The sequence below is a fragment of the Homo sapiens genome, chromosome 12 (genome assembly GCF_000001405.40).
Source record: "Homo sapiens chromosome 12, GRCh38.p14 Primary Assembly".
Classification (NCBI taxonomy): Eukaryota; Metazoa; Chordata; class Mammalia; order Primates; family Hominidae; genus Homo; species Homo sapiens.
The window spans coordinates 40,514,536-40,540,401 of NC_000012.12; the positions used below are offsets into that span (position 1 = coordinate 40,514,536).

Consider the following 25,866-nt stretch of genomic DNA (forward strand, 5'->3'; position numbering starts at 1 on the left):
CCTGCATTTCCCCTGGAAATATAACATGCCAGAGTCAAAACCTGGGTGTGCATAGGAATTCCCTGGCCTCACCTGGGTTATCCCTCTGGATTTCCAGGAGCCCAGGCTTGCAGAGCTAGTTATTATGTAGCAAGGATGAGGGCAAGCTGCTGGATAAACCCTGCTTATCAGGGTCCCTGACCCTTTTATACAATTTGCCTTTTTCCTAAAGTGTTTACTAACATCTTTCACACTGACTTATTTATTACGTTTATTGTTCATTGCTGGCCTCCAGTTACTAGAATGTAAGGTGCATTAGGAGAGAGGTCTTTGAACATTTTGCTCACTGATACATCCCAAGGGCCTAAAACAATATCACATGAAAGAGATATTTAATAAAGCTTAGTTGAAAGGTGAAATGTATTATTTGAAGAATTTTTCACTCCACTTGCCTTAATAGGTACAACTGTGGTTTCACCTGGAGCCAGCAGCACTTCACAGAGCTCCAGGCCAGGTAGGAAGGACTAAATACAGTCCTCATATGCGAGGATTAGAGTTAACAAGTTCTATTTTCAAATTCTCAGTATCAAAATGCCTGAGGTAATTGATGAGTAAAATTCAGAAAGATGAATCTGTCATCTGCTTTTTTTCTCCTGAAGGCACCTCTGTCACACCAGACAGTTCAGCATCTGAAAGTGAAACAGGTGAGGAGGAGATAGGGTTACCATCAACATTCAGTGTGCTCTATGGAAAGGGAACCCCAGGAGCAACAGGCCAGGACATGAAGTGGTAGTCACTTATAGTTCATTTCCTTACAAAACAGAGGCTTTCAGGAATGTTCTTCCAGTGGATTAAAGCCACATAGCTATTTCCACAACTGATTTAGGGGGTAATGCCATGTTTATCCCTTTCTTTTTCCACTTTTAGTTACTACAAAAGAATTCTCTGGGACAACTGCTATATCTAGAACTTCCCACACCGGTAGGTTAATAAGCAGGAAATCTCCATGTTTAACCACATAATATAGTTATTAGAGCTGCTTTGATGAAATACCAACCTCATTGTTTTCTCAATATCCCAAATTCTGATCTCACCATTCACCACTTCCTCTCTCAGAGGCTGCAACTTTAACAGAAGGCCGCAGCGTTCCTCCATCTGGATCCAGCCCCAGTGAGAATGAACAGAGCACAGCTTAGGGTTTAGCATAAATTATGACTCTCCCTAGGCTCGCCTGTTGGGAGTGTGTTTTCCTAGGTAGTGGTTTGCATTTACTTTCAGTGTTTTCTTACACTGAACACATTCTGGAAAACTCTTAAAACCAACATCTAGCCCCACAGCTGTAACTTTCTAAAGAGGGGCTGGTGGTACAGTCAGCATAACAGATTTCTCCTGCAAAACCACGTATACCACTGTGGTGTAGAGGGAGCTGACAAATATTGTATTTCTGGAAAGAAAACAATATAAATTCTCGAAGCAAGCATATCCTGTATAAAAGTTTTCTTACTCAAAAAAGCAATAATGATATGAAATATTTTCCAGTGTTCTTGGCACATGACAACATTGTTCTGGTTTTCATCCCATGGCAGGCACCCCTGCAGCCTCAGGAGGCCAAGCAACTGGGAGCCTGACAGGTGAAGGGGAGGGAAAGCCACCCTGTTTCCTTGTCTGGGAGTGAATGTATGAAATTCAGTGGAGGGGCCTCAATTTGGGCACATTACTATTTCCATTGCTCTTTTAATTTGCTATGGGTCATAGCAAAGGCATATGATTCTCAGTTAATCAGGAAGCAGTGAAAGGGCCCTTTGATATAACAAAGATACACCCAGATTCCTTCTGGAGGAAGGTCTTCAGAAGACAAACACAAGTCACTGTGATGATCACAGACCCTTTGTGTTTCAGCCACCACTGGGGTAGCTCCTGGCACAACTGTTGCACCTGGCAGTTCCAACACAGGTGAGTCCCTGAGGTGGCAGATTCCTCCAGGAGTCCATCTATGACAAATTCTCCTTCAGTGTTATCCTGGGTAGGAGAACCACCTTAAGTTTTCCATGGTCTTGAAATATTGTTCATCACTCCTGTCCTGTTTTCCTCTTTCTCAGAGGCCACAACTTCTGTAGGAGAAAGAGAAACAACAAAAGCTGAAATAATCACAGGTGAGCTCTGTTAAGATATTAACTATTCCTAAAACCTTCCCAAGAGTCTGGCCTGAAATATGTAAACACTTTTTGGATTTCCCAGAATTAGCATATTAAGGAACATCTAACAGAAGTCCAATATTTGACATCGATAAATCCAGTACAGACCTTTCAACTTTTCCTCCTTATGTCTTGCACTGTGTGTCTATGGATCCTTCATCACAGCATCATGAGACCCATTCCCTGACAGTTACATAGATGATTTGGGCCCAAGTGTACACTGCTATCATTAAACCCTAAGAAAGGGACTAGTGGTGGAGGACTTTCTCTGAGAACAAATCACAGTAAACTTGCTCAGGGAATGATATGTTTCATGGGCAAAGTGTGGATTCACTCTCAAAATTAAAGTCCAGAAAAATTAATTTCCTGGTATATTAAAGAAACAAACATTTCATTTGTTTTATTATTAAGAGCCCATGCCTGTTAAATTAAGGACCGCAAATTGACCAGTTACAATCCTTTCTTATTTCAGGTACTACTGAGGGCATCTCTGGGAAAACTCTGGAAGCTGGAAGTGCCCACACAGGTCAGGCACTCTGAACGTGGCCTCTTGGCCATGTGATCTCATTGCTCAACCCCAACTTATGAGTGAGAACAAGCAGTTTTTGGTTTTCCGTTCCTGTGTTAGTTTGCTGAGGATGATGGCCTCCAGCTCCATCCATGTGCCTGCAGAAGACGTGATCTCATTCCTTTTTATTCAGCTTGACATTTTCTATCATTTTTCTCCTTTAATTATACATGATGCTTATTTTCTGTATCCCCTCACTAGAAAGCTTCATGAAGTCAACTGATTATTAAAATGCCTCAAGTTGCATGAAAGAGTTCTACTTATAAAGATAAAACCATGCTTTGTTTCTCCTGTAGGCACTTCTGTCACAGCACTATGTCTCTGGAAGGCAAACAGTTCAGGGTGATCTAAAGCCCTATTCTCCCCTTGCCTTGTAGTGAAAGGGAAACCCAGTAGCCACACATCTATCCCATGTTGGCCTGGAAAGCCCAGTGCTAAGCAGCTGTTCATTTTTTATTCTATAGAAATAGTGTCCTCAGGAATGGGCTTCTAGTGCTTTAGGGCCACATTGATGCTTCCAAGCTTAGTTGGGGAGATAATGCTCTATAGTTCCATTTTCCTTTTTTGCATTTTAGGTGACACTGGAGAATTATCTGGAACAACCATTATATCTGAAAATTCCACCACAGGTAGTTTAACAAGAAGGAAATGCCCTTATTTAATGTCACATGTCACAATATCTCTTTTAGGACTGCTATGATAAATTACACCCCCAAATCCCCTCCAGTATTCCAAATTCCCAGACTTCACTATTCTATTTTTTCCCTCAGAAGCCACAACTTCCATTGTAGGGAGTGGCACTGCTGGAACTGAACTCAAAACTGGTGACAATAAACAGCCCATACTTTGGCCTCGTAAGGATTAGTACTCTCAAGCTTTCCTTGAGAGAGTTTGTGTTTCATTTAGAGACATTGCAAGTAATTCAAAATAGGATTGCTGTTATTTATTTGTTTATTTATTTAGAAAAACTACCAATCCTAGAATTGAGCCTCCCTTCATCAAGTCCGAGGTTGGGATGGGATTTTTCCATTGTGTTACAAGTCTCACCAGCATTTGAGCTGGAAACCAGAAAGTTTTCTGTGTGAACGTGCGTGAAGTAGAAAAGAGCCTCATGGAAACAGGGTGCATTTATCCATACTTGTGTAGCCCACAATTGGCTTGCCCAACATTTTCTCCTATCTCTGAAATTTCAACACATTTAAGCCTTTCTTCCCTGCTCTTTCTATCTCACAGCAGGCATCACTGCAGCAACAGGGAAGCAAGCAGGTGAGCATTGGGAAAATGCATCTAGTTTCTCTTTTGTCAAGTTTTCAGTTGTGTTTGTACTTGAAACATTGTCTCTCTATCTCCTTTTGTTATGAACTGTTGAAAGCAGGAAATACATCTAGTTTTCCACCTTCCCTGTGCTCAGAGAAAGAGATTTCTGTTATGGCAAATAAATACAGAAATACAGCATATCCCTTTTAGATTTGGGTCCTCATTTGACTTACTCATTCACTATGATCACCTCAGTCTCTTTGTGTTCCAGGCACCTCGGAGGTAGCTCCTTCCACAACAGTTGCCCCAGGAAGTTTCAGCACAGGTGAGTCTACTCTGTGGTGGGGAATCCTTTCATGGGTGCTTGCTACAGTAACATGCCTTTCCTTTTGGTGCTTCTATGCAGGAGCTCCACCATTCCATTCCATGCCCCCTGAATCTTTTCCATTTGTGTCTTTCTTCTTCCAGCAGCCACAACTTCTCCTGGAGCAAGTGGAACGACTGGGGTTACAACAACTACAAGTAAGAACTGACAATCCACTACCTCCTTCACAGTAGGTCACATTGCTTCAATCACATGTACCATTTGTACGTCCTGTGAAGAGCATTTTTGTTGGAAAAAAAAAACACTATTCCAAATGGACAAGATTTTACCTAATACATAAATGTCAGACACTCAAATACTTTTATCTTCCTTTCCTCTGCTTCAAGGAGACTTCACCATGGAGCTAAGGCACTGAACATCAGTTGTGTGATTGGAGAGAAAAGTCTTTCTTTCCCTCAATGATATATAAAGGAAATAATAGCTATTAACATTTTTCTCATTAAATATTCTATAGAAATGGTGCATGCAAAACATATAGATTAACTCCTGGTCTAGAAACCTCTGAAAGAGCTTGCTGACACATTAACAAAACAGAGTTCCCTGAGCCCATCAAAGGTTGTTTTCTTTTCATTATGTGTAAAGAATAAAAATATTGATTCCTATCACTCTAAGTTCCAATGTGGTAGCCACTGGCAAAACTTTTACACATGAAGAGTGTAATACTTAAAGCAATAAATAATGATGATTATAGTAATGAGCATATTGATCATTTATGAATTCCTTACTATATCCACTTTTTAAATTAGAGGTTTACATATTTTATTCCAATTAAGAAATACCTAAGGTCCAATTAAGAAGATAAATTTACAAGTGCTGTATCTCTCCGTTTTAACAATTAAACTTATATATTTATGTTTTCCATTACTTTTAAAGTCAGAAGGCCTTCTTTTCTGACTTAATAGAAAGTGTCCAGACATTTTGAATTGAGTTCTCTTGTAATGACATCAGCTTAGCTCATTTCTCTTTCTTAATACTCAATTAATTTTGGTTTTCTTCAAGAGACCACAACTTCCCTAGGAGGAAGTGGCACCACTGGAGCAGAAATAAAATCAGGTAAAGACTTTGAGGTATTTATGTTTATTGTTGTATTTTGATAAATTTCTTAGAGGAAATTTTTTTAATGAGCTCTTAATTTGGCAATAAATTTAAATTACAGAAAATTATCACAGATAATGTAGAGATTCCCTTTAATATGGAGTGTGGTTTTAAATTTCCTTTGAGGCTATAGTATTTCAAGGAAACAGAGTTTCTTCTTAGATTTGAATTTGTAAACTCTTGAGTCCAAAGTTCCTAAAGTCTTTCCTTTCGGGAGACTAACCTCAGGGTTCTAGGTCTCTGGAGAGGAGAGTTGCAATAATAGCTCTGGCTTTGAAGTGGTTTTCCGTTTGAAAAGAGCATAGTCTGTATAACATTTGTGTCCTGTTCATAGATAAAAATTTAAGATTTTCTTTCTTCTTTCTTCTTCTTTCCTTCTCCTCTTCTTCTCCTAATCTCTTTTCATGTGGAGCCACCACTGGAGCACCAGGAAGTAGGACAGGTAAACTTGGGGAAAGCCTTTCATAGGACCTTCAACATTGGCATAACAATAATCATTATGATGAAGGCGGGATATTGCTTACTGCATTAACCTTGGCCTTGTAAAGAAACACAATAAATCTGAAACATGGTTGTCCTTATGTCAGTTATAAGTCCAGGAAGTGTGTTTTCTTGCTTCAAAGTCACAAATAGACCTACTGTTGGCCACATTTTTCTAGGGTCACAAAAGAGTTCCCATGTAGATCCCTCTCTCTTCTTTCCTACCTAGGCACAGCTGGAGTGCCCTCTGCTACAACAGTCTCCCCTGGGAGCTCCAACTCAGGTAAAGCACCAGGCTGGGAGGAACCACTACTTGGAAAGGGCTCCTCAGTGAGGCATCTGCCTGGGTGACCCTACCATGCTTTTCTCAGATGCTTCTAATCTTTGCCCTCACTGCTGTTCTTTGTCCCTGTTTTGCAGAGGCCACAACTTCTGTAGGAGAAAGTGGAAAAACAGGAGCTGAAACAATCACAGGTTAGCTCTGTTAAGGAACTAAGTTTACTTTGTTGTAATTTCCCATGTCTTGATAGAAATATGGCAAAAGTTTTAAAATTTTCTATATTTGGCATATTAGGCAAAAATTTAGCAGATGTTCAATATTTAATATCAATAAATATAGTTCAGATACTTCAACGTTTTTCCCTTATGTCTTTTGCCTTGGGTCTTGGAACCCTTCATCCGGGCATCATAAGGCCTATTCCCTGACAGTTATATAGGTGACTTTGGCCCAAATCTATCTTTCTGGACTGAAATTCTAAAAATAAAATTCAGTGGCAGAGGACTTTCTCTGTAAACTTTCTGAGGGAATTATAGGTTCTATGGGCAATGGATGGATCAACTCTTAAAAATGCAAACTCCAGAGAAATAAATTTTCTGTTTTATTAAAGAAAAAATTTGTTTTTTTTTTCTTTAGGAGCCTATGCCCATATCATGAGGAGCAACAAACTGACCGACTGACCTCAATCTTTTCCTTTTTCAGGTACTACTGAGGGCATCTCTGGCAGAACTCTGGAGGCTAAAAGTGCCCACACAGGTCAGGAATTCTGAACATGGCCCTTTGGGAAATACAGGTTATGGGGCCATAGAATGTCCAGGGCAGTCTTCATACTTCTAATTCCTTTCTCTCTCAGAGGCCACAACTTTCCCAGGAGGCAGCAGAACCACCCAAGCAGGACCACACCGGGGGTGAGCTTGTCAGGCTTAGGCCTGAGGCTCTCATCATGTCTCTATCTGGTAGCTACAGAGAACAAATAGTGAAGGCATTTGAAGTAGGGCCTGCATTTTATTCTGGGCAATATGGTGTCCTGTCAACCTGGTCAGTTATTCTGCTCCTGAATTTCATGACCTTGGATAGTCAGGCAGGTACTATTCTAGCTTATGGAGATATTATTTTTTCTCATAAAAGATATTTAAAAATATTTCATATATTTTTGCCTTCCAGGACTTCCTATTCCCCTACCCACATTGCTTTTTCACTCACAGCTTGATACTTTTTTCTCATTTTTCTCATACACTTACACATGATGTTGATTTCCTCTCTCCTCTCACTAGAAAGCTTCATGAAGACAACTGATTATTAAAATGCCCCAAGTTGTATCACACAGTCCTGCTTATAAGTATAAAACAATGATTTTTTCATCCTGTAGGCCCCTCTGTCACACCAGGGGGATATATTCCTAGGAGTGAAACAGGTCAGGTTGATTTAAACCCTATTTTTCTCTTGCCTCATAGTGAAAGGGAATCCCAGAAGCAACACATCCATCGCATGTTGGCCTGGAAAATGAAGTGCTAGGAAGTTGTTCATTTTCCATTCGCTATAGAAATAGAGTGTCCACAGGAGAGGGCTTCCAGTGCTTTAGGGCTACATTGATGCTTCCAAGCTTAACTGGAGACAAAAATGCTCTATTCCTTTATTTCCTTTCTTTTTTTTTTTTTTTTTTTTTTTTTTTTTTTTTGCATTTTAGTTACCACTGGAGAATTGTCTAGAACGAACTTTATATCTGGAAGTTCTAACACAGATAGCTTAACAAGAAATACCTCTTATTTTAATGTCAGATGTCATGATTTTTTTAAGGCTTCTCTGATAAAATATCTTCTTCCAGTATTCTAAATTCCCAGCCTTTTTCATTCTCCTCTTTCTTCCATCAGAGGCCACCACTTCCACAGAAGGGACTGGTACTTCTGGAACTGGATTCAAAACTGGTGAGAAGAAACAGCCCATGATTTGGCATCATAAGTATTAGGTCTCTCAAGCTTTTCTAGAGAGAGTTTGTGTTTGTGTTATTTAGGGACATTGCAAGTGATTCAAAATAGATTTGCTAGTGGAGGTACGTTTTGTTTTGAAAATCCACTAATTCTAAAGTGGATCATTACTGCTTCATTTCTGAGGATACGATGCACTTCTCCATTTATGTTCCAACTCTCGCTAGCAGTTTAGGTGGAATTCAGAAAGTTTCAGTGCATGTGTGTGAAACAGAAGAGCTCTGTGGAACCAGGACACATACATTTAACGTGTACATTTGAACAAAAATGCTGGCTCAGTATTTTCTCCTACATGTGAAGTTCAATACATTCAAACTCTTTTTCCTCCTCTTTCTATCTCACAGCAGGCATCACTGCAGCACCAGGGAAGCAAGCAGCTGAGCATTGGGAAAATGCATCTAGTTTCTCTCTTATCAAATTTTCAGTTGTGCTTGTACTTGGAAACATTGTATCTCCTTTTGTTATGAATTGCTGAAAGCAGACAAATACATCAAATTTTCCACTTGCCTCGTGCTCAGAGAAAGAGGATTCTGTTATGGCAAATAAATACAGAAATATAGCATATACCTTTTAGATTCGGGTCCTCATTTGACTTACTCGTTCACTGTGATCACCTCAGTTTCTTTGTGTTTCAGGCACCTCAGAGGTAGCTCCTGCCACAACGGTTGCCCCAGGAAGTTTCAGCACAGGTGAGTCCACTGTGTGGCGGAGAGTCCTTTCACAGGTGCTTGCTACAGTAACAGGTCTTTCCTTCTGGTGTTTCTATGCAGGAGCTCCACCATTCCATTCCATGCCCCCTGAATCTTTTCCATTTGTGTCCTTCTTCTTCCAGCAGCCACAACTTCTCCTGGAGCAAGTGGAATGACTGGGGTTACAACAACTACAAGTAAGAACTGACAATCCACTACCTCCTTCCCAGTAGGTCACCTTGCCTTGATCACATCTACCGTTTGTACTTCCTGTGTAGGGCATTTAAAAAAAAAATTTTACAAATAGGCCAGATTTTACCTAATATGTAAAAGTTGGACACTCAAATGCCTTTATCTTCCTTTCTTCTGCTTCAAGGAGACTTCACCACGGAGCTAAGGCACTGAGCATCAGTTGTTTGATTGGAGAGAAAGGTCTTTCTTTCTCTCAGTGATATATAAAGAAAATAATAGCTATTAAAATTTTTCTCATTAAATAATCTATAGAAATGGTACATGAAAAAATATAGATGAACTTCAGGTTCTAGAAACCTCTGAAAAATGCTTTTTGACACATTAAGACAACAGAGATTAACCTCACCCCATCGAAGGCCATTTTCTTTTCATTCTGTGTAAAGAGTAAAAATATTGATTCCTATACCTCTCTAATTCCAAGTTCCAGTGTAATAGCCACTGGAAAAATTCTTACACATGAAAAGTCTAATACTTAAAGCAATAAATAATGATGATAATAGTAATGAGCATGTCGATCATTTATGAGTTCCTCACTGTATCTGCTTTTTAAATTAGAGGTTTACATATCTTATTCCAATTAAGAAATACCTAAGCTTCAATTAGTAAAATAAATTTATAAATGATGTATCTTCTCATTTTCACAATTAAATTTGTATATTTATGGTTTTCATTACTTTTAAAGTCAGAAGGCCTTCTTTTCTGACTTAATAGAAAGTGTCAAGACATTTTGAATTGAGGTTATCTCATGTAATGACATCAGCTTAGCTCATACCTCTTTCTTAATACTCAATTAATTTTGGTTTCTTTTCATCTTTTAGAGACCACAACTTCCCTAGGAGGAAGTGGCACCACTGGAGCAAAAATAAAATTAGGTAAAGACTTTGGAGTATTTGTATTTATTGTTGTTCTTTGATCGATTTCTTAGAGAAAAATTTTTAATGAGCTTTTTATTTGAAAATAAATTTAAATTACAGAAAATTATCATAGATAATGCAGAGAATCTTTTTAATGTGGAATGTGGGTTTAAATTTCCTTTGAGGCTGTAATATTTCAAGAAAACAGAGTTTGTTCTTGGATTTGGACTTGTAAACTCTTGAGACCAAAATTTCTAAAGTCTTTCCCTTCTGAGAGACTAACCTCAGGGTTCTAGGTCTCTGGAGAGGAGACTTGCAATAATAGCTCTGGTTTTGAAAAGGTTTTCCCTTTGAAAAGGGCATAGTCTGTATGCCATTAGTGTACTGATTTCTACAATGTAGAAATCACCAAGATGTCATATTTTAGTTTAGAGATAAAAATTCAAAATTGTCTTTCTTCCTTCTTGTTCTTTCTTGTTTTCTCCTCTTCTTTCTTCTCCCTTTCTCTTTTGATTTTCAGTAGGAACCACCACTACAGCACCAGAAAGTAGGACAGGTAAACTTGGGGAAAGCCTTTCATATGACCTTCAACTTTGAACAAATCTTGGTAATAATATTCGGGGCAGGAATATTAGCCACTGCGTTACCCTTGGCTTTGCAAAAGCACACAATAAACCGGAAGCCTGTTAGTCCTCATGTCAGTTATAATTTCAGGAAGTGTGCTTTCTTGCTTCAAAGTCACAAATAGACATACTGTTGGCCACATTTTTCCAAGGGTCATGAAAGAGTTCCCATATCCATCTTTCTCTTTTCTTTTCTACCTTGGCACAGCTGGAGTGCCCTCTGGTACAAGAGTCACCCCTGGGAGCTCCAACTCAGGTAAAGCACCAGGCTGGGAGGAACCACTGCTTGGAAAGTGCTCCTCAGTGAGGTGTCTGCCTGGGTGACCCTACCGTACTCTTCTCAGATTCTTCTAATCTTTGCCCTCACTGCCATTCTTTTTCCCTGTTTTGCAGAGGCCACAACTTCTGTAGAAGAAAGCAGAATAACAAGAGCCGAAGTAATCACAGGTGAGTTCTGTTAAGGAACTAAGTGTACTTTGTTATAATTTCCCATGTCTTTCTTGAAATATGACAAAAGTTTTTGAATTTTCCATATTTGGCATATTAGGCAAAAATTTAACAGATGTTCAAAATTTAACATCAATAAATATAGGTCAGACACTTCAACATTTTCTCCTTGTTTCTTGTGCCTTGGCTCTAAAATCCCTTTATCAGGATATCATGGGGCCCATTCCCTGACAGCTATATATGTGACTTGGGCCCAAATCTATCTTTCTGTATCTAAACCCTAAAAAATGGAACTTGCTGGTAGAGGACTTTCTCTGTAAACTTGCTGAGGGAATTATAGTTTATATAATGAATAATATATGGATTAAGTATTAAAATACAAACTGCAGAGAAATAAATTTTCTGTTGTATTGAAGAAAAAAGTTTTTTTCTTTAAGAGCCTATGCTTATATCATAAGGGGCAACAAATTGACCAACTGTCCATAATCCTTTCCTATTTGGGGTACTACTGAGGGCATTTCTGGCAGAACTCTGAAAGATGGAAGTGTCCACACAGGTCAGGCATTCAGAACATGGCCCTTGGCCAATAAGCTTATGGGACCCCAGAATGTCCTGTGCAGTCTTCATACCTCCAATTCCTTTCTCTCTCAGAGGCCACAACTTTCTCAGGAGGCAGCGGGGCCACCTGAGCAGGATTACCCAGAGGTGAGCTTGGCAGACTGAGACCTGGGGCTCTCATCATCTCTCTATCAGGGTGGGTACAGGGAACAAATAATGTGAACGCATTTGAAGGAAGGGCCTGCATTTTCTCCTCAGCCATATTGTGTCATATCAACCTTGGTCAGATATTAGACTTGTAAATTTCATGACTTGGATTGTCAGCCAAGCTGTCTGCACTATTCTAGTTTATGGAGACATTATTTTTTTCTGATTAAACATATTAGAAAATATTTCATATATTCCAACCTTCCAGGACTTCCTATTCCCTTACCCAGCCTTTCCACTCACAGCTTGATACTTTTTATCATTTTTCTCATATACTTACACATGATGTTTGTTTCCTCTCTCCCCTCACTAGAAAGCTTCAGGAAGACAACTGATTATTAAAATGCCCCAAGTTGTATCACACAGTCCTACTTATAAATATAAACAATGATTTATATCTCCTGTAGGTACCTCTGTCACACCAGAGGGATATGTTCCTGGAAAGGAAACAGGTCAGGGTGATTTAAAGCCCTATTCCCCGCTTGCCTCAGTGAAAGGGTATCCCAGCAGCAACCTATCCATCGTGCGGGCCTGGAAAATGAAATGATAGGAAGGTGATCATTTTCCATTCTCTACAGAAACAGTGTCCACATGAGAGGGCTTCCAGTGCTTTAGGGCTACATTGATGCTTCCAAGTTTAATTGGAGACAAAATGCTCTGTTGCTTTATTTCCTTCCCCCCAACTTTTTTTTTTTTTTTGGCATTTTAGGTACCACTGGAGAATTTTCTGGAACGAACTTTATATCTGGAAGTTCTAACACAGGTAGCTTAACAAGAAGTAAATTTTTATTTAATGTCAGCTGTCATATTTCTTTTATGGCTTCTATGGTAAAGTAATATCCCAATATCTTCTTCCAGTATTCTAAATTCCCAGCCTTTTTCATTCTCCTCTTTCTTCCATCAGAGGCCACCACTTCCACAGAAGGGACAGGTACTTCTGGAACTGGATTCAAAATTGGTGAGAAGAAGCAACCCATGATGTGGCATCATAATTATTAGGTCTCTCAAGCTTTTCTTGAGAGAGTTTGTGTTTATTTTATTTAGGGACAATGCAAGTGATTCAAAATAGATTTGCTGGTGGAGATACTTTTTTTTAAATCTACTAATTTTAAAATGGAGCATTACTGTTCCATTTCCGAGGATGGGATGGAATTTCTCCATTTGTGTTACAACTATTGCTAGCAGTTTAGGTGGAATTCAGAAAGTTTTCAGTGTGTGTATGTGAAACAGAAAAGAGCCCCATGGACCCAGGACACATGCATTTATAAGTGTATATGTGAACAAAAATGCCGGCTCAGTATTTTCTTTCTTATGTCTCAAGTTTTAATACATTTAAACCCTTTTTTCCCTCTTCTTTCTACCTCACAGCAGGCATCACTTCTGCCCCAGGGAAACAAGCAGGTGAGCATTGGGGAAATGTATCTAGTTTTGCTTTTATCAAATTTCCAGGTGTGCCTGAAGTTGGGAACAATTTCTATGTGCTTTGGTTTGAATTGTTGAAAGCAAGCAAATACATGTAGTTCACCATCTGCCTCATGCTCAGTGAGAGATTTCTGTGGTGGCATATAAATAAATAAATATATACATACATAGAGCATATTCCTTTTAGATTCAGTTCTTCATTTGATTTACTCATTTACCATGATCACCTCAGTCTCTTTGTGTTTCAGGCACCTCTGGGGTATCTCTTGCCACAACAGTTGCCCCTGGAAGCTTCAGCACAGGTGAGTCCACAGTGTGGTGGGGAATCCTTTCATGGGTACTTGCTGTGATAATATGATTTTCCTTTTGGTGATTTTATGCAGAATAACCACCTTTCCATTTTAAGTCCCCTAAATCTTTTCTATTTATGTTCTTCCTCTCTTCGCAGCCACAACTTCTTCTGGAGCAAGTGGAATAACTAGGGCTGGCCCCAACTCAGGTAAGCACTGACGAATCACTACCTGCCTCCCAGTAGACAACGTTGCCTGAATCACATCTACTGCTTGTACTGTCTGTGAAGAGCATTTTTCTGAAGAAAGATTATCACATAGGCAAGATTTTATCTAATAACTGAAGGCCAGACACTCAAACTTTTTAACTTTCCTTTCCCCTGCTTCAAGGAAACTTCATCATGGAGCCAAGGCACTGAGAATCAGTTAGGAGATTGAAGATAAATGTTTTTCTTCCTCTCATTGATATTTAAGTGAAGTGATTGAGTTATTGACATTTTATTCATTAAATATTCCATGAGATACAAATGATGTGTAGAAAATATATATAGATTAACTCTTGTTTCTAGAAACCTCTGAACAGAGCTTGTTGACACATTGAGGAAACACATAGTTTTCTTATCCCCATCCTAGGCCATTCTCTTTCTCATTATGGGTGAAGAATTGAGATATTGATTCTTATTTCTAATTCCACAATGTAATTACTACACACTGGTAGTCACCGGCAAAATTTTTTCTCATGGAAAGTCTAATACTTAAAGCAATAAATAATGATGATAATAGTAATGAGCGTATTGATCATTTATAATTTCCTTGCTATGTACATATTGTGTACGGCCTTTACATACCTTATTACCATTGCAACTACCTAAGGTCCAAAGAAGACCCATGAGTTAAAAATGGACAATTAAACTTGGTCTTGAAGATAAACACTTTTACATGGAAAAGGGTTTCTTTTCTGACTTAGTAGTAGATGATAAGACATTTTGAATTGTATTTGTCTCATGTAGTCTCATCAGCTTAACGCACCTCTCTTCCTTCATACTCAATTAATTTTGGTTTTCTCTCCATCTTTAAGAGACCACAACTTCCCTAGGAGGAAGTGGTACCACTGGAGCAGAAATAAAATCAGGTGAAGATTTGGGTATTTTCATTATTTATTGTTACAGTTTGATTCCAAGTTCATGGATTTCTTAGGGAAAATGGGTTTTTTAAGCCTTTTATTTTGAAATATTACATTATGTAAAATGTGCAAAGATAAAGCAAAGAATCCCTTTCACGTGGAATGAAGTTTTTATATCCTTTGGGGGCTATGGTATTTCGAGGAAACCAGCAATACTTTTTGGATTCAGATTTGGAACCACTTGGCCCCAAATTTCTTAAAGGCTTTCCCTTCTCAGGGACTAACCCCTGGGTTCTAGGCCTCTTGAGAGAGTAGATATAATAGCTCTGGCTCTGAAATGGTTCTTCCTGTGAAAAGAGCTTAGTCTGTATTACATTACAGTACTGACTTCTATTCATCTTAGAAATCATTAAGATGTCTCATTTTAGTTCAAAGAAAAAATTCTAAATCTTTCTTCTTCTTTCTTCTCTGCCTCCTCCTCCTCCTTTTTCTTTTCTTCTTGTTCCCCGTCTTTCCTCTCCTCCTGTTCCTTTCTTCTCTTTCTCTACCTCATCCTCTTCCTTCTTCTTTTTCTCTCTCTTCATACTTTTTTTTTTCCTCTTCCTTCTCCTTTCTCCTCCTCCTCTTCCTCCTCCTGTCCTCTGCCTCCTCCTCTTGCTTCTTCTCCTCCGGCTTCTTTTTTTTCCTCCTCTGCTGCTTCTTTCTTCTCTTCTTCCTCTTCCTTCTCCTCTTCCTACTCCTCTTATCTTCCTCCTCCTCCTTCTCTTCTCCCTTCTTTTTTTTTTCATTAGGTAAATATGGAAAAAGCCTTTTACATGACCTTTAACCTTGGCAAAGATTGGCAGGTATATTAGCCATGGTGTTAACCTTGGCTTCGCAAAGTCAAATGGTAGACATGCAACACGTTTATCTTTCTGTCAGTTATAGGTCCAGAAGTATCTTTTGCTGTTTCAAAGTCACAGATAGACTTGTTGCCCACATTCTTCCAGGGATCGCAAAATTGTTCTCACGTTGATCTTTTTTTTTTTTTTTTTTTCCCACCTATGCACAGCTGCAGTGCCCTCTGGTACAACAGTTGCCCCTGGGAGCTCCAACTCAGGTAAAGCACCAGGCTGGGAGGAACCAGTGCTTGGGAAGGGCTCCTCAGTGAGTTGTCTGCCTGGGTGATCCTACCATACTCTTCTCAGATTCTTCAAATCTTTGTCCTCACTGTTATTCCTCTTCTCTCATTTGCAGAAGCCACAACTTCTGTAGGAGAAAATGGAAAAACAAGAGGTGAAATAATCACAGGTGAGCTCCGTTAAGGAACTAAATGTACTTTGTAATGACTTCCCATGTCTCACTTGAAATATAGCAAAATTCTTTGACTTTTGGCATATTAAAAACATATGCCATATTTTTGGCATATTAATATGGCAACATTTGGCATATTAAAAACATATTTAGTAGGTGTTCAATATTTAACATCAATAGATACAGTTCCAACACTTCAACGTTCCCTCCTTGTGTTTTGTTCCCTGTGTCAAAGCCCTCTTCATCAGGCTAGCATGGGGCCCATTCCCTTGCAGTTATAGAGGTGACTTGGCCTGAATCTATCTCCCTGTAATTAAACCCTAAAAAAAGGGTCTCAGTGGTGGAGGACTTTCTGTGTAAACTCACCGAGGGAATTATATATTCCACGAGCAATATATGGATAAACTCTTAAAACTAGAAAGCCCAGAGAAATAAATGTACTGGTATATTGAAGAAACAAAGTTATTATCTTTCCTTTAGGAGCCCATGCCCATTTCATGAGAGGCAACACATTGACCAGCTGACCACCTTTCTTATTTCAGATACTACTGAGGGCACCTCTGGCAAAGTTCTGGAACCTGGAAGTGCCCACACAGGTCAGGAATTCTGAACATGGCCCCTTAAGCAATATCAGCTTTGGGAAACCCAGAATGTCCTGTCCAGTCTTTATACCTCCAATTCCTCCCTCTCTCAGAGGCCACAACTTTCCCAGGAGGCAGTGGGACTACCCGAGCAGGACCACCAGGAGGTGAGCTTGTCAGGCTGAGGCCTGGGGCTCTCATCATCTCTCTATCTGGGTGGCTGCAGTGAACAGTAATGAACAGTAATGCAGTGAAAGTCTTTTGAGGGAGGGTCCTGCATTTTCTCTGTGGCCACAGTGTGTCATATCAACCTGGTCAGTTATTCTGCTTGTGAATTCATGACCTCAGATGTCTCAGCCAGGCTGCCTTCAGTGTCCTGGCTTATGGAAACGATTTTTTTCTGATATGAAGTATGAGCGTATATTGCATATATTCCAACTTTCCAGGACTTCCAACTCTCCTTACCCAGTTTTCCTTTCCACCCACAGTTTGAGACATTTTCTATCATTTTTCTCCTTTACTTACACATGATATTTCTCCCCTCCTACAAAACTTAGTGAAAACAACTGATTATTAAAATCCTCCAAGTTGTATCAAAGAGTCCTACTTATAAATATAGAAGTGTGCTTTGTTTCTCCCGTAGGCACCTCTGTCACACCAGGGGGCTATGCTCCTGGAAGGGAAATAGGTCAGGGTGATTTAAGCCTTATTCGTCCCTTCCCTCATAGAGAAAGGGAAACCCAGTAGCAACACACACGGCCCAGGTTGGCCTGGAAAATCAAGTACTTGGAGACTGTTCATTTTCCATTCTCTACAGGGATACAGTGTCCTCAGGAAAGGGCTTCCAGTACTTTAGGGCCACACATGGATGCTTCCAAGCTTAACTGGGGAGATAATGATCTATTGCTCCATTTCCCTTTTTTGGCATTTTAGGTACCACTGGAGAATTGTCTAGAATGACCATTATACCTGGAAGTTCTAACACAGGTAGCTTAACAGGAAGGGAATGCATCTTATTTAATGTCAGATGTCATGATATCTCTTTTAGGGATGCTATTATAAAGTAATACCCCAATATCCTCTGTAGTATTCCAATTCCCAGATGTCACTATTCTCCTACTTTTTTTCCTCAGAGGCCACAACTTCCACAAAAGGGACTGGTACTTCTGGAACTGGCTTCAAAACTGGTGAGAATAAACAGTCCATGATTTGGGGTCATCCAGATTAGGAATCAAGCTTCTCTTAAGAGTATTTACATTTTATTTAGGTACACTGCAAGCAATTAAAAATGAATTCTCTATAGAGTTAAATTTTTTTGGAAATCTACTAATTTTAGAATTGAGCCTCACTGCTCCAGGTCTGCGAATGGGTTGAGATGTCGCCAGTGGTGTTACACCTATCACCAGAATTGGAGCTGGAATTCAGAATGTTTTCCTTGTGTGTGTGTGTGTGAGTGTGTGTATGTGTGTGAAATAGAAAAAAATTCCATGGAACCAGGATGCATGCATGCATATCTGTGTATCTGTATATGGATAAAACTTTGCTTTAATATTTTGTGCTACATCTAGTTTGCAGCACACTTAAACCTTATTTCCCCTTCTTTCTATCTCACAGCAGGCATCACTGTGCCAGGGTAGCAAGTTTGTCAACATTAGGGAAATGCATCTAGTTTCCCTTCTATTAAATTTCCAGGAGAAGCACCTGAAGTTGCAAACAGTATTTCTCTATTTGCTTTGGTTATGAATTGTTGAATGCAAGCAAATACATCTAGTTCACCCTTTGCCACAACCTCAAAAAAAGAGATTTCAGTTATGGCAAATAAATACATTATATCCCTTTAAGAGTCAGGTCTTCACTTGACTTACTGAGTCATAATGGTCAGTAAGTCAAATGAAGACCTGACCCTAAAAGAGATATAATGTGTTTCAGGCACCTCTTGGGTGGCGCCTGGCACAACAGTTTCCCCTGGAAGTTTCAGCACAGGTGAGTCCACAGTTTCTTTACTGATTCCACAGGAATCGTTTCTTGAGTGCTTGCTACAATAATGTCTTTCCTTTGGTGCTTCTATGCAGAAGCACCACCATTCCATCCCTAGGCCCCTGAATCTTTTTCATTTATGTCCCTCCTCTCTCAATAGCCACAATTTCCCCTGGAGCAAGTAGAACGACTGGGGCTGCACCTGCCGCAGGTAAGCACTGATGAACTACTAACTGCTTCCCAGTAGACAAGGTTATCTGAATCACATTTACTGTTTGTACCTCCTGTGAAGAGCATTTTCTGAACAAAGATTACTGGTTAGGCAGGATTTTACCTAATAACCAAACGTCAGATCCTCAAACTCTTTTATCTTCGTTTCCTCTGCTTCAAGGAGACTTCAGCATGGAGCTAAGGCACTGAGAATCAGTTGGGTGATTGGAAAGAAATGTCTTTCTCTCACTGATATCTAAAGGAAGTAATTGAGTTATTGGAATGGCTGTCATTAAATATTCTATGAGATATAAATGGTGTGAAGAACATATATAAATTAACTCTTGATTCTAGAACCTCTGAAAAGAGCCTCTTGACACACTGAGAAAACATAGCTCCCTTACCCCATTGTAGGCCATTTTCTTCTCATTATGGCTAAAGATTGAGATATTGATTCCCATGGTTCTCTAATACCAAGTTCATTTTTGGTAGCCACTGGCAAAATTCTTGCACATGAAAATTATAATATTTAAAGCAATAAATAATGATGATGACAGTAGTGAGCATATCTATCATTTATGAGTTCCTTACTATATACGCTTTTTTATTAAGAATTCTACATATCTTATTCCAATTAAGAAATAACTGAGGTCCAACTAAGAACCATGTGAGTTAAAATGTTTTATCTCCCCATTTAAAAAATTAAATGTGTGTATTAAAGGTTTCCATCACTTTTACAGTCAGGAGGTCTTCTTTTCTGACTTAGTAGATGACAAGACATTTTGCATTGGGCTTATCTCATGTATTGACATCCACTTGCCCATCCCTCTTCCTTAATATTCAATTAATTTTAGTTTTCTTTTCATCTTTAAGAAACCACAACTTCCCTAGAAGGAGGTGGCACCACTGGAGCAGAAATAAAATCAGGTAAAGACTTTGGGGTATTTACATTTATTGTTGTATTTTGATAGATTTTGTAGAGAAAAACTTTTTTTAATGAGCTTTAAATTTTGAAATAATTTTAAGTTACAGAAAATTTGCATTGATAATGCAAAAATCACTTTAATATGGAATGTGGTTTTAAATTTCCTTTAAAGCTATAATATTTTAAGGGAAACAGAGATTCTCCTTGGATTTGGATTTGTAAATATGTGGGCCCAAATTTCCTAAAGGCTTTGCCTTTTCAGATACTAACCTCAGGGGTCTAGGACTCTGCAGAGAAGGGTTACAATAATAGCTCTGGCTCTGAAATGGTTTTCCCTTTGAAAAGAGCATGGTCTATATAACATTAGTGTACTAGCTTCAAATCAGTGTAGAAATCATTAAGATGCCTATATTTTAGTTCAGAGATAAAAATTCAAAAATATTTTTTCTTCCTTCTTTCTCTTTCTTTCCTCCTTCTTCTCCTTCTCTTTTTCTTTTCATTAGGAGCCACCTCCGGAGTACCGGGAAGTAAGACAGGTAAACTTGGGGAAAGCCTTTCAAATGACCTTCAACATTGGCAAAAAAAAAAAAAAAAAAAAATTCAGGACAAGCGTATTAGCCATTGTGTTAACCTCAGCCTTACCAAGGAACACGATACACATGGAAAATGCCTCTCCTGTCAGTTATAGGACCAGGAAGCGTCTTTTCCTGCTTTGAAGTCACAGATGGACATGCTGTCAGCCGCATTCTTTCAAGGGTCATAAAAGGGTCTCTATGTTGATCTTTCTCTTTTCTTTCCTATCTAGGCACAGCTGGAGTGCCCTCTGCTACAACAATTGCCCCTGGGAGCTCCAACTCAGGTAAAACACCAGGGTGGGAGGAACCAGTGCTTGGAAAGGGCTCTTCAGTGAGGTGTCTGCCTGGGTGATCCTACCATGCTTTTCTCAGATTCTTCAAATCTTTGCCCTCACTGCTATTCTTTTTCCCTCTTTTACAGAGGCCACGACTTCTTTAGGAGAAAGTGGAAAAACAAGAGTTGAAACAATCACAGGTGAGCTCAGTTAAGGAACTAAGTGTACATTGATATGATTTTCCATGTCTTGCTAGAATAAGGCAAAAATCTGAATTTCCCATATTTGGCATATTAGAAAAACATTTAGCAGATGATCAATATTTAACATCAATAAATATAGTTCAGACACTTCAACATTTCCTCCTTATGTCTTGTGCTTTGGGTCTAAGGACCCTTCATCAGGGCATCATGGAGCCCATTCTCCGACAGTTATAGAGGTGACGTGGGCCCAAATCTATCTATCTGTAACAATACCCTAAATAAGGAACTCTGTGGTAGAGGACTTTCTCTATAAACTTGCCAAAGGAACTATATGTTCCAAGGGCAATATATGGATTAACTCTTAAAAAAAAAACCAGAAACTCTAGAGAAATAAATTTTCTGGTGTGTTTAATAAAAATGTTTTTTTTTTTTCTATAGGAGTCTATAACCATTTCATTAATGACAACAGATTGACCAACTAATCACAATCCTCTCTTATTTCAGGTACTACTGAGGGTAAAACTCTGGCAGCTGGAAGTGCCCACACAGGTCAGGAATTCTCAACATGGCCTTTGGGCAATACAGCTTATGGGGCCCCAGAATGTGCTGTGCAGTCTTCATACATCTAATTCCTTTCTTTGTCAGAGGCCACAACTTTCTCAGGAGGCAGCGGGAGCACCCGAGCAGGACCACTGGGTGGTGAGCTTGTTAGGCTGAGGCCTGAGGCTCTCATCATCTCTCTGTCTGGGTGGATACAGGGAATAAATAATGTGAAGGCTTTTGAGGGAGGGGGAATTTTCTCTGGGGCCATATTGTGTCCTATATCTGGTCAGTTATTCTGCTTGTGATTCCATGAGCTCAGATGGCTCAGCTAGGCTGTCTTCAGTACCCTGGCTTATGGAGACATTTTTTTCTGATATGAGGCTTGAGAGTCTATTCCACATATCCCATCCTTCCAGAACGTCCAGCCGTCCTTCACCCAATTTACCTTTCCACCCACAGCTGGACACTTTCTATCATTTTTCTCATTTAGCTATACATGATGTTTATTTCTTCTCTCCCCTCACTAGAAAGCTTCATGAAGTCAACTGATTATTTAAATGCCCCTATAGCTGTATCAAAAATCCTGCTTATAAGGTTAAAACCTTAAGCAGGATTTCTCCTGTATTTCTCCTGTAGGCGCTTCTGGTACATCAGGAGGATATGTCCCTGGAAGGGAAACAGGTCAGCGTGATTTAAACCCTATTCTACTTTGCCTTATAGTAAAAGGGAAACCCAGCAGCAGCACATCCATCTCAGGTTGGCCTGGAAAAGGAAGTGCTAGAAGTTGTTCATTTTCCATTCGCTACAGAGACAGAGTATCCTCAGGAAAGGGCTTCCAGTGCTTTAGGGCTACATTGATGCTTCCAAGCATAAATGGGGAGAAAATGCTCTGTTGCTGCATTTATCCCTTTTGCTTTTTAGGTACCACTGGAGAATCTTCTGGAACAACCATTATATCTGGAAGTTCTAACACACATAGCTTAACAGGAATAAAGTGCCTCATATTTAATGTCAGATGTCATGATATCTCTTTTAGGGCTGCTATGATAAAATAACACCCCAGTATCTCCTCTCAGTATTCCAAATTCACAGACTTCCCTACTGTATTTGTTCCCTCAGAGCCCACAACTTCCATTGAAGAAACTGGAACTTCCAGAACTATATTCAAAACTGGTGAGACTAAAAAGCCCATAATTTGGGGTCATCTAGATTAGGTCTTTTAACTTTCCTTGAGGGTGTTTGTGGTTTTTATAAAGACACTGCAAGTGATTCAATACAGGTTTGTTATTAGGGAGAAATCTTTTTTGAAAGGCTACTTATTCTAAAATTGAGTCTCCCTTCATTGAGGCTGAGGATGGGATGGGATTTTCCCATTTTGTTACTAGTATCACTAGCATTTGAGCTGGAAGCCAGATAGTTTTCTGTGTGTACATGTGTGAATGTGTGTGAGGTAGGAAAGTGCCCCTTGGAACCAGGGTGCATGCATGCATATGTGTATATGTATCTTACGATTGGCTTCCCCAATATTTTCTCCAACATCTGAAGTTTCAACACATTTAAATCTTTCTTCGCTCTTCTTATGTACCTCACAGTAGGCATCACTTCAGCCCCAGGGAGGCAAGCAGGTGAGCATCAAGAAAATGCATCTAGTTTCCCTTTTATCAAATTTGTAGTTGTGCTTGAAGTTGGAAACATTTTCTATGTGCTTTGGTTATGAATTTTTGAAAGCAGGCAAATATATATAGTTCACCATCAGCCTCATGCTCAGAGAGAGATGTATGTTGTAGGAAATAAATAAATACATAAATACAGCATATCCCTTTAAGATTTGGGTCCCCTCAATCCCTTTGTGTTTCAGGCACCTCTGTGGTGGCGCCTAGCACAACAGTTGCCCCTGGAAGTTTCAGCACAGGTGAATCCACTGTGTGGCGGGGAATCCTTTTATGGGTGCTTGCTATAATATCTTCCCATTGAGTGTTTCAATGCAGAAGCATCACCATTCCATTCCATCCCCCCTGAGTCTTTTCCATTCATGTCCTTCCTCTGCCAGCAGCCACAACTTCTCCTGGAGCAAGTGGAATGACTGGGGTTAGAACCACTTCAAGTAAGCACTGACAATCCACTACCTCCTTCCCAGTAGACAACATTGCCTCAATCACATGTAGTATTTGTATTTCCTGTAAAGAGTATTTTTTGAACATAGATTACCAGATAGGCAGGATATTACCTAAATGACTAAAGGCCCGACACTCAAATTCCTTTGTTTTTCTTTCTTCTGTTCCAAGGAGACTTCACCATGAAGCTAAGGCACTGAGAATCAGTTGTGTGATTGGAGAGAAATGGTTTTATTTCTCTCATTGATATCTAAAGGAAATAATTGAGTTATTGAAAGTTTTGTCATTTAAATTTTCTGTGAGACAGAAATGGTGCATGGAAAACATATATACGTTAAATCCTGGTTCTAGAAACCTCTGAAAAGAACTTCTTGGCACTTTGAGAAAACACATAGTTCCCACACCTTCATGATATGACATGTTCATTCTCATTATGGGTAAAGAATTCAGATTTTGATTCCTATCACTTTTTAATTCCAAGTTTCAATGTGGTAGCCTCTGGCAAAATGCTCGCATGTGAAAAATCTAATAATAAATAAGGATGATAATAGTAATAAGCATATCAATCATTTATGATTAATTTCAGTTCTGACTGTATACCTTTTGAAATTAAGTTTAAATAAATTATTCCAATGAAGAAACACTTAAATTTCAATTAAGGACAATATGATTTGAAAATATTTTATCTCACCATTTAACAATTAAACTTGGATATTGAAGGTTTCCATCATGTTTACAGTCAGAAGGATTTCTCTTCTGACTTAACAGTAGGTGACAAGACATTTTGAATTAGGCTTATTGCACATCTTGACATCCACTTAGCTCATCCCTCCTCCTTAATACTCAATTAATTTTGGTTTTCTTTCCATCTTTAAGAGACTACAACTTCCCTAGGTGGAACTGGCACCACTAGAACTGAAATAAAATCAGGTAAATATTTTGCAGTATTCATTATTTATTGTTGTATTTTGATAGATTTCTTACAGGAAACATTTTTTAACAATAACTTTTTAAGTTACAGAAAATTTGCATTGATTATGCAAAGAATCGCTTTAATGTGGAGTGTACTTTTAAATTTCTTTTAAGGCTGTAATATTTCAGGGAAAACAGAGTTTCTTCTTAGATTTGGATTTGTAAACATGTGGGCCCAAATTTCCTGAAGGCTTTCCCTTCCTAGAGACTAACTTCAGGGTTCTAGGCCTCTGGAGAGGAGAGCTGTAGTAGCTACAGCTCTGAAATGATTTCCTTTTGAGAAGAGCGTAGTCTGCATATCATCATAGTGTTGACTTGTATTCAGCACAGAACCCATTAGGTTGTCATGTTTTACTCCAGAGATAAAAATTCAAAATTTTCTTTTTTCTTCTTTCTCTGTTCTTTATTTCTTTTCTTTCTTTCTTTCTTTCTTTCTTTCCTTCTTTCTTTCTTTCTCTTTCTTTCTTTCTTTCTTTCTTTCTTTCTTTCTTTCTTTCTCTCTCTCTCTCTCTCTCTCTCTCTTTCTTTCTTTCTTTCTTTCTTTCTTTCTTTCTTTCTTTCTTTCTTTCTTTCTTTCTTTCTTTCTTTCTTTCTTTCTTTCTTTCTCATCCTTCTTCTTCTTCTTTTTCTTTTTATTAGGAGCCACCACTGGAGCACCAGGAATTAAGACAGGTAGATTTCAGAAATGCCTTTTTTTATTATTATACTTTAAGTTCTAGGGTACATGTGCACAAAGTGCAGGTTTGTTACATATGTATACATGTGCCATGTTGGTGTGCTGCACCCATTAACTCGTCATTTACATTAGGTATATCTCCTAATGCTATCCCTTCCCCCTCCTCCCACCCAATGACAGGCCCCAGTGTATGAAGTTCCCCACCCTGTGTCCAAGTGTTCTCATTGTTCTATTCCCACCTATGAGTGAGAACATGTTTGGTTTTCTGTCCTTGCGATAGTTTGCTCAGAATGATGGTTTCCAACTTCATCCATGTCCCTACAAAGGACATGAACTCATCCTTTTTTATGGCTGCATAGTATTCCATGGTATATATGTGCCACATTTTCTTAATGCAGTCTATCATTGATGGACATTTGGGTTGGTTCCAACTCTTTGCTATTGTGAATAGTGTCACAGTAAACATACATGTGCATGTGTTTTTATAACAGCATGATTTATAATCCTTTGGGTATATACCCAGTAATGAGATGGCTGGGTCAAATGGTATTTCTAGTTCTAGATCCTTGAGGAATCGCCACACTGTCTTCCACAATGGTTGAACTAGTTTACAGTCCCACCAACAGTGTAAAAGTGTTCCTATTTCTCCACATCCTCTCCAGCACCTGTTGTTTCCTGACTTGATCATTAAAAAATGATCGCCATTCTAACTGGTGCGAGATGGTATCTCATCGTGGTTTTGATTTGCATTTCTCTGATGGCCAGTGATGGCGAGCATTTTTTCATGTGTCTGTTGGCTGCATAAATGTCTTCTTTTGAGAAGTGTCTGTTCATAT

At 39.1% G+C, this 25,866-nt stretch overlaps 1 protein-coding gene across 1 annotated transcript in view, besides 1 other annotated feature; it reads left to right on the top strand.

The window, feature by feature from the left end:
* Positions 1–25,866, top strand: part of MUC19 (mucin 19, oligomeric (gene/pseudogene)) — a gene marked incomplete in the record, with an annotated part of 177,364 nt that overhangs the window by 121,142 nt on the left and 30,356 nt on the right. The window contains 49 exon segments of the mRNA NM_173600.2: positions 440–493; positions 639–683; positions 907–960; positions 1,566–1,610; positions 1,879–1,932; positions 2,079–2,132; positions 3,318–3,371; positions 3,976–4,008; positions 4,271–4,324; positions 4,468–4,521; positions 5,384–5,437; positions 5,892–5,921; positions 6,189–6,242; positions 6,380–6,433; positions 8,108–8,161; positions 8,857–8,910; positions 9,054–9,107; positions 9,981–10,034; positions 10,537–10,572; positions 10,848–10,895; positions 11,033–11,086; positions 11,738–11,791; positions 12,561–12,614; positions 12,756–12,809; positions 13,220–13,252; positions 13,522–13,575; positions 13,722–13,772; positions 14,642–14,695; positions 15,738–15,785; positions 15,923–15,976; positions 16,522–16,575; positions 16,674–16,727; positions 17,494–17,547; positions 17,694–17,747; positions 18,490–18,543; positions 18,698–18,748; positions 19,621–19,674; positions 20,176–20,208; positions 20,478–20,531; positions 20,669–20,722; positions 21,230–21,274; positions 21,371–21,424; positions 21,905–21,949; positions 22,388–22,441; positions 22,861–22,893; positions 23,127–23,180; positions 23,319–23,372; positions 24,259–24,312; positions 24,994–25,026. Coding sequence (NP_775871.2) covers positions 440–493; positions 639–683; positions 907–960; positions 1,566–1,610; positions 1,879–1,932; positions 2,079–2,132; positions 3,318–3,371; positions 3,976–4,008; positions 4,271–4,324; positions 4,468–4,521; positions 5,384–5,437; positions 5,892–5,921; positions 6,189–6,242; positions 6,380–6,433; positions 8,108–8,161; positions 8,857–8,910; positions 9,054–9,107; positions 9,981–10,034; positions 10,537–10,572; positions 10,848–10,895; positions 11,033–11,086; positions 11,738–11,791; positions 12,561–12,614; positions 12,756–12,809; positions 13,220–13,252; positions 13,522–13,575; positions 13,722–13,772; positions 14,642–14,695; positions 15,738–15,785; positions 15,923–15,976; positions 16,522–16,575; positions 16,674–16,727; positions 17,494–17,547; positions 17,694–17,747; positions 18,490–18,543; positions 18,698–18,748; positions 19,621–19,674; positions 20,176–20,208; positions 20,478–20,531; positions 20,669–20,722; positions 21,230–21,274; positions 21,371–21,424; positions 21,905–21,949; positions 22,388–22,441; positions 22,861–22,893; positions 23,127–23,180; positions 23,319–23,372; positions 24,259–24,312; positions 24,994–25,026 — 2,445 coding nt within the window.
* Positions 3,726–4,227: an enhancer, noted in NCBI's record as "NANOG hESC enhancer chr12:40912063-40912564 (GRCh37/hg19 assembly coordinates)". NCBI's record gives its function as "activates a minimal SCP1, AML or CMV promoter by ChIP-STARR-seq in naive H9 embryonic stem cells {active_cell/tissue: H9 hESC(naive)}" and the evidence as "EXISTENCE:reporter gene assay evidence [ECO:0000049][PMID:30033119]".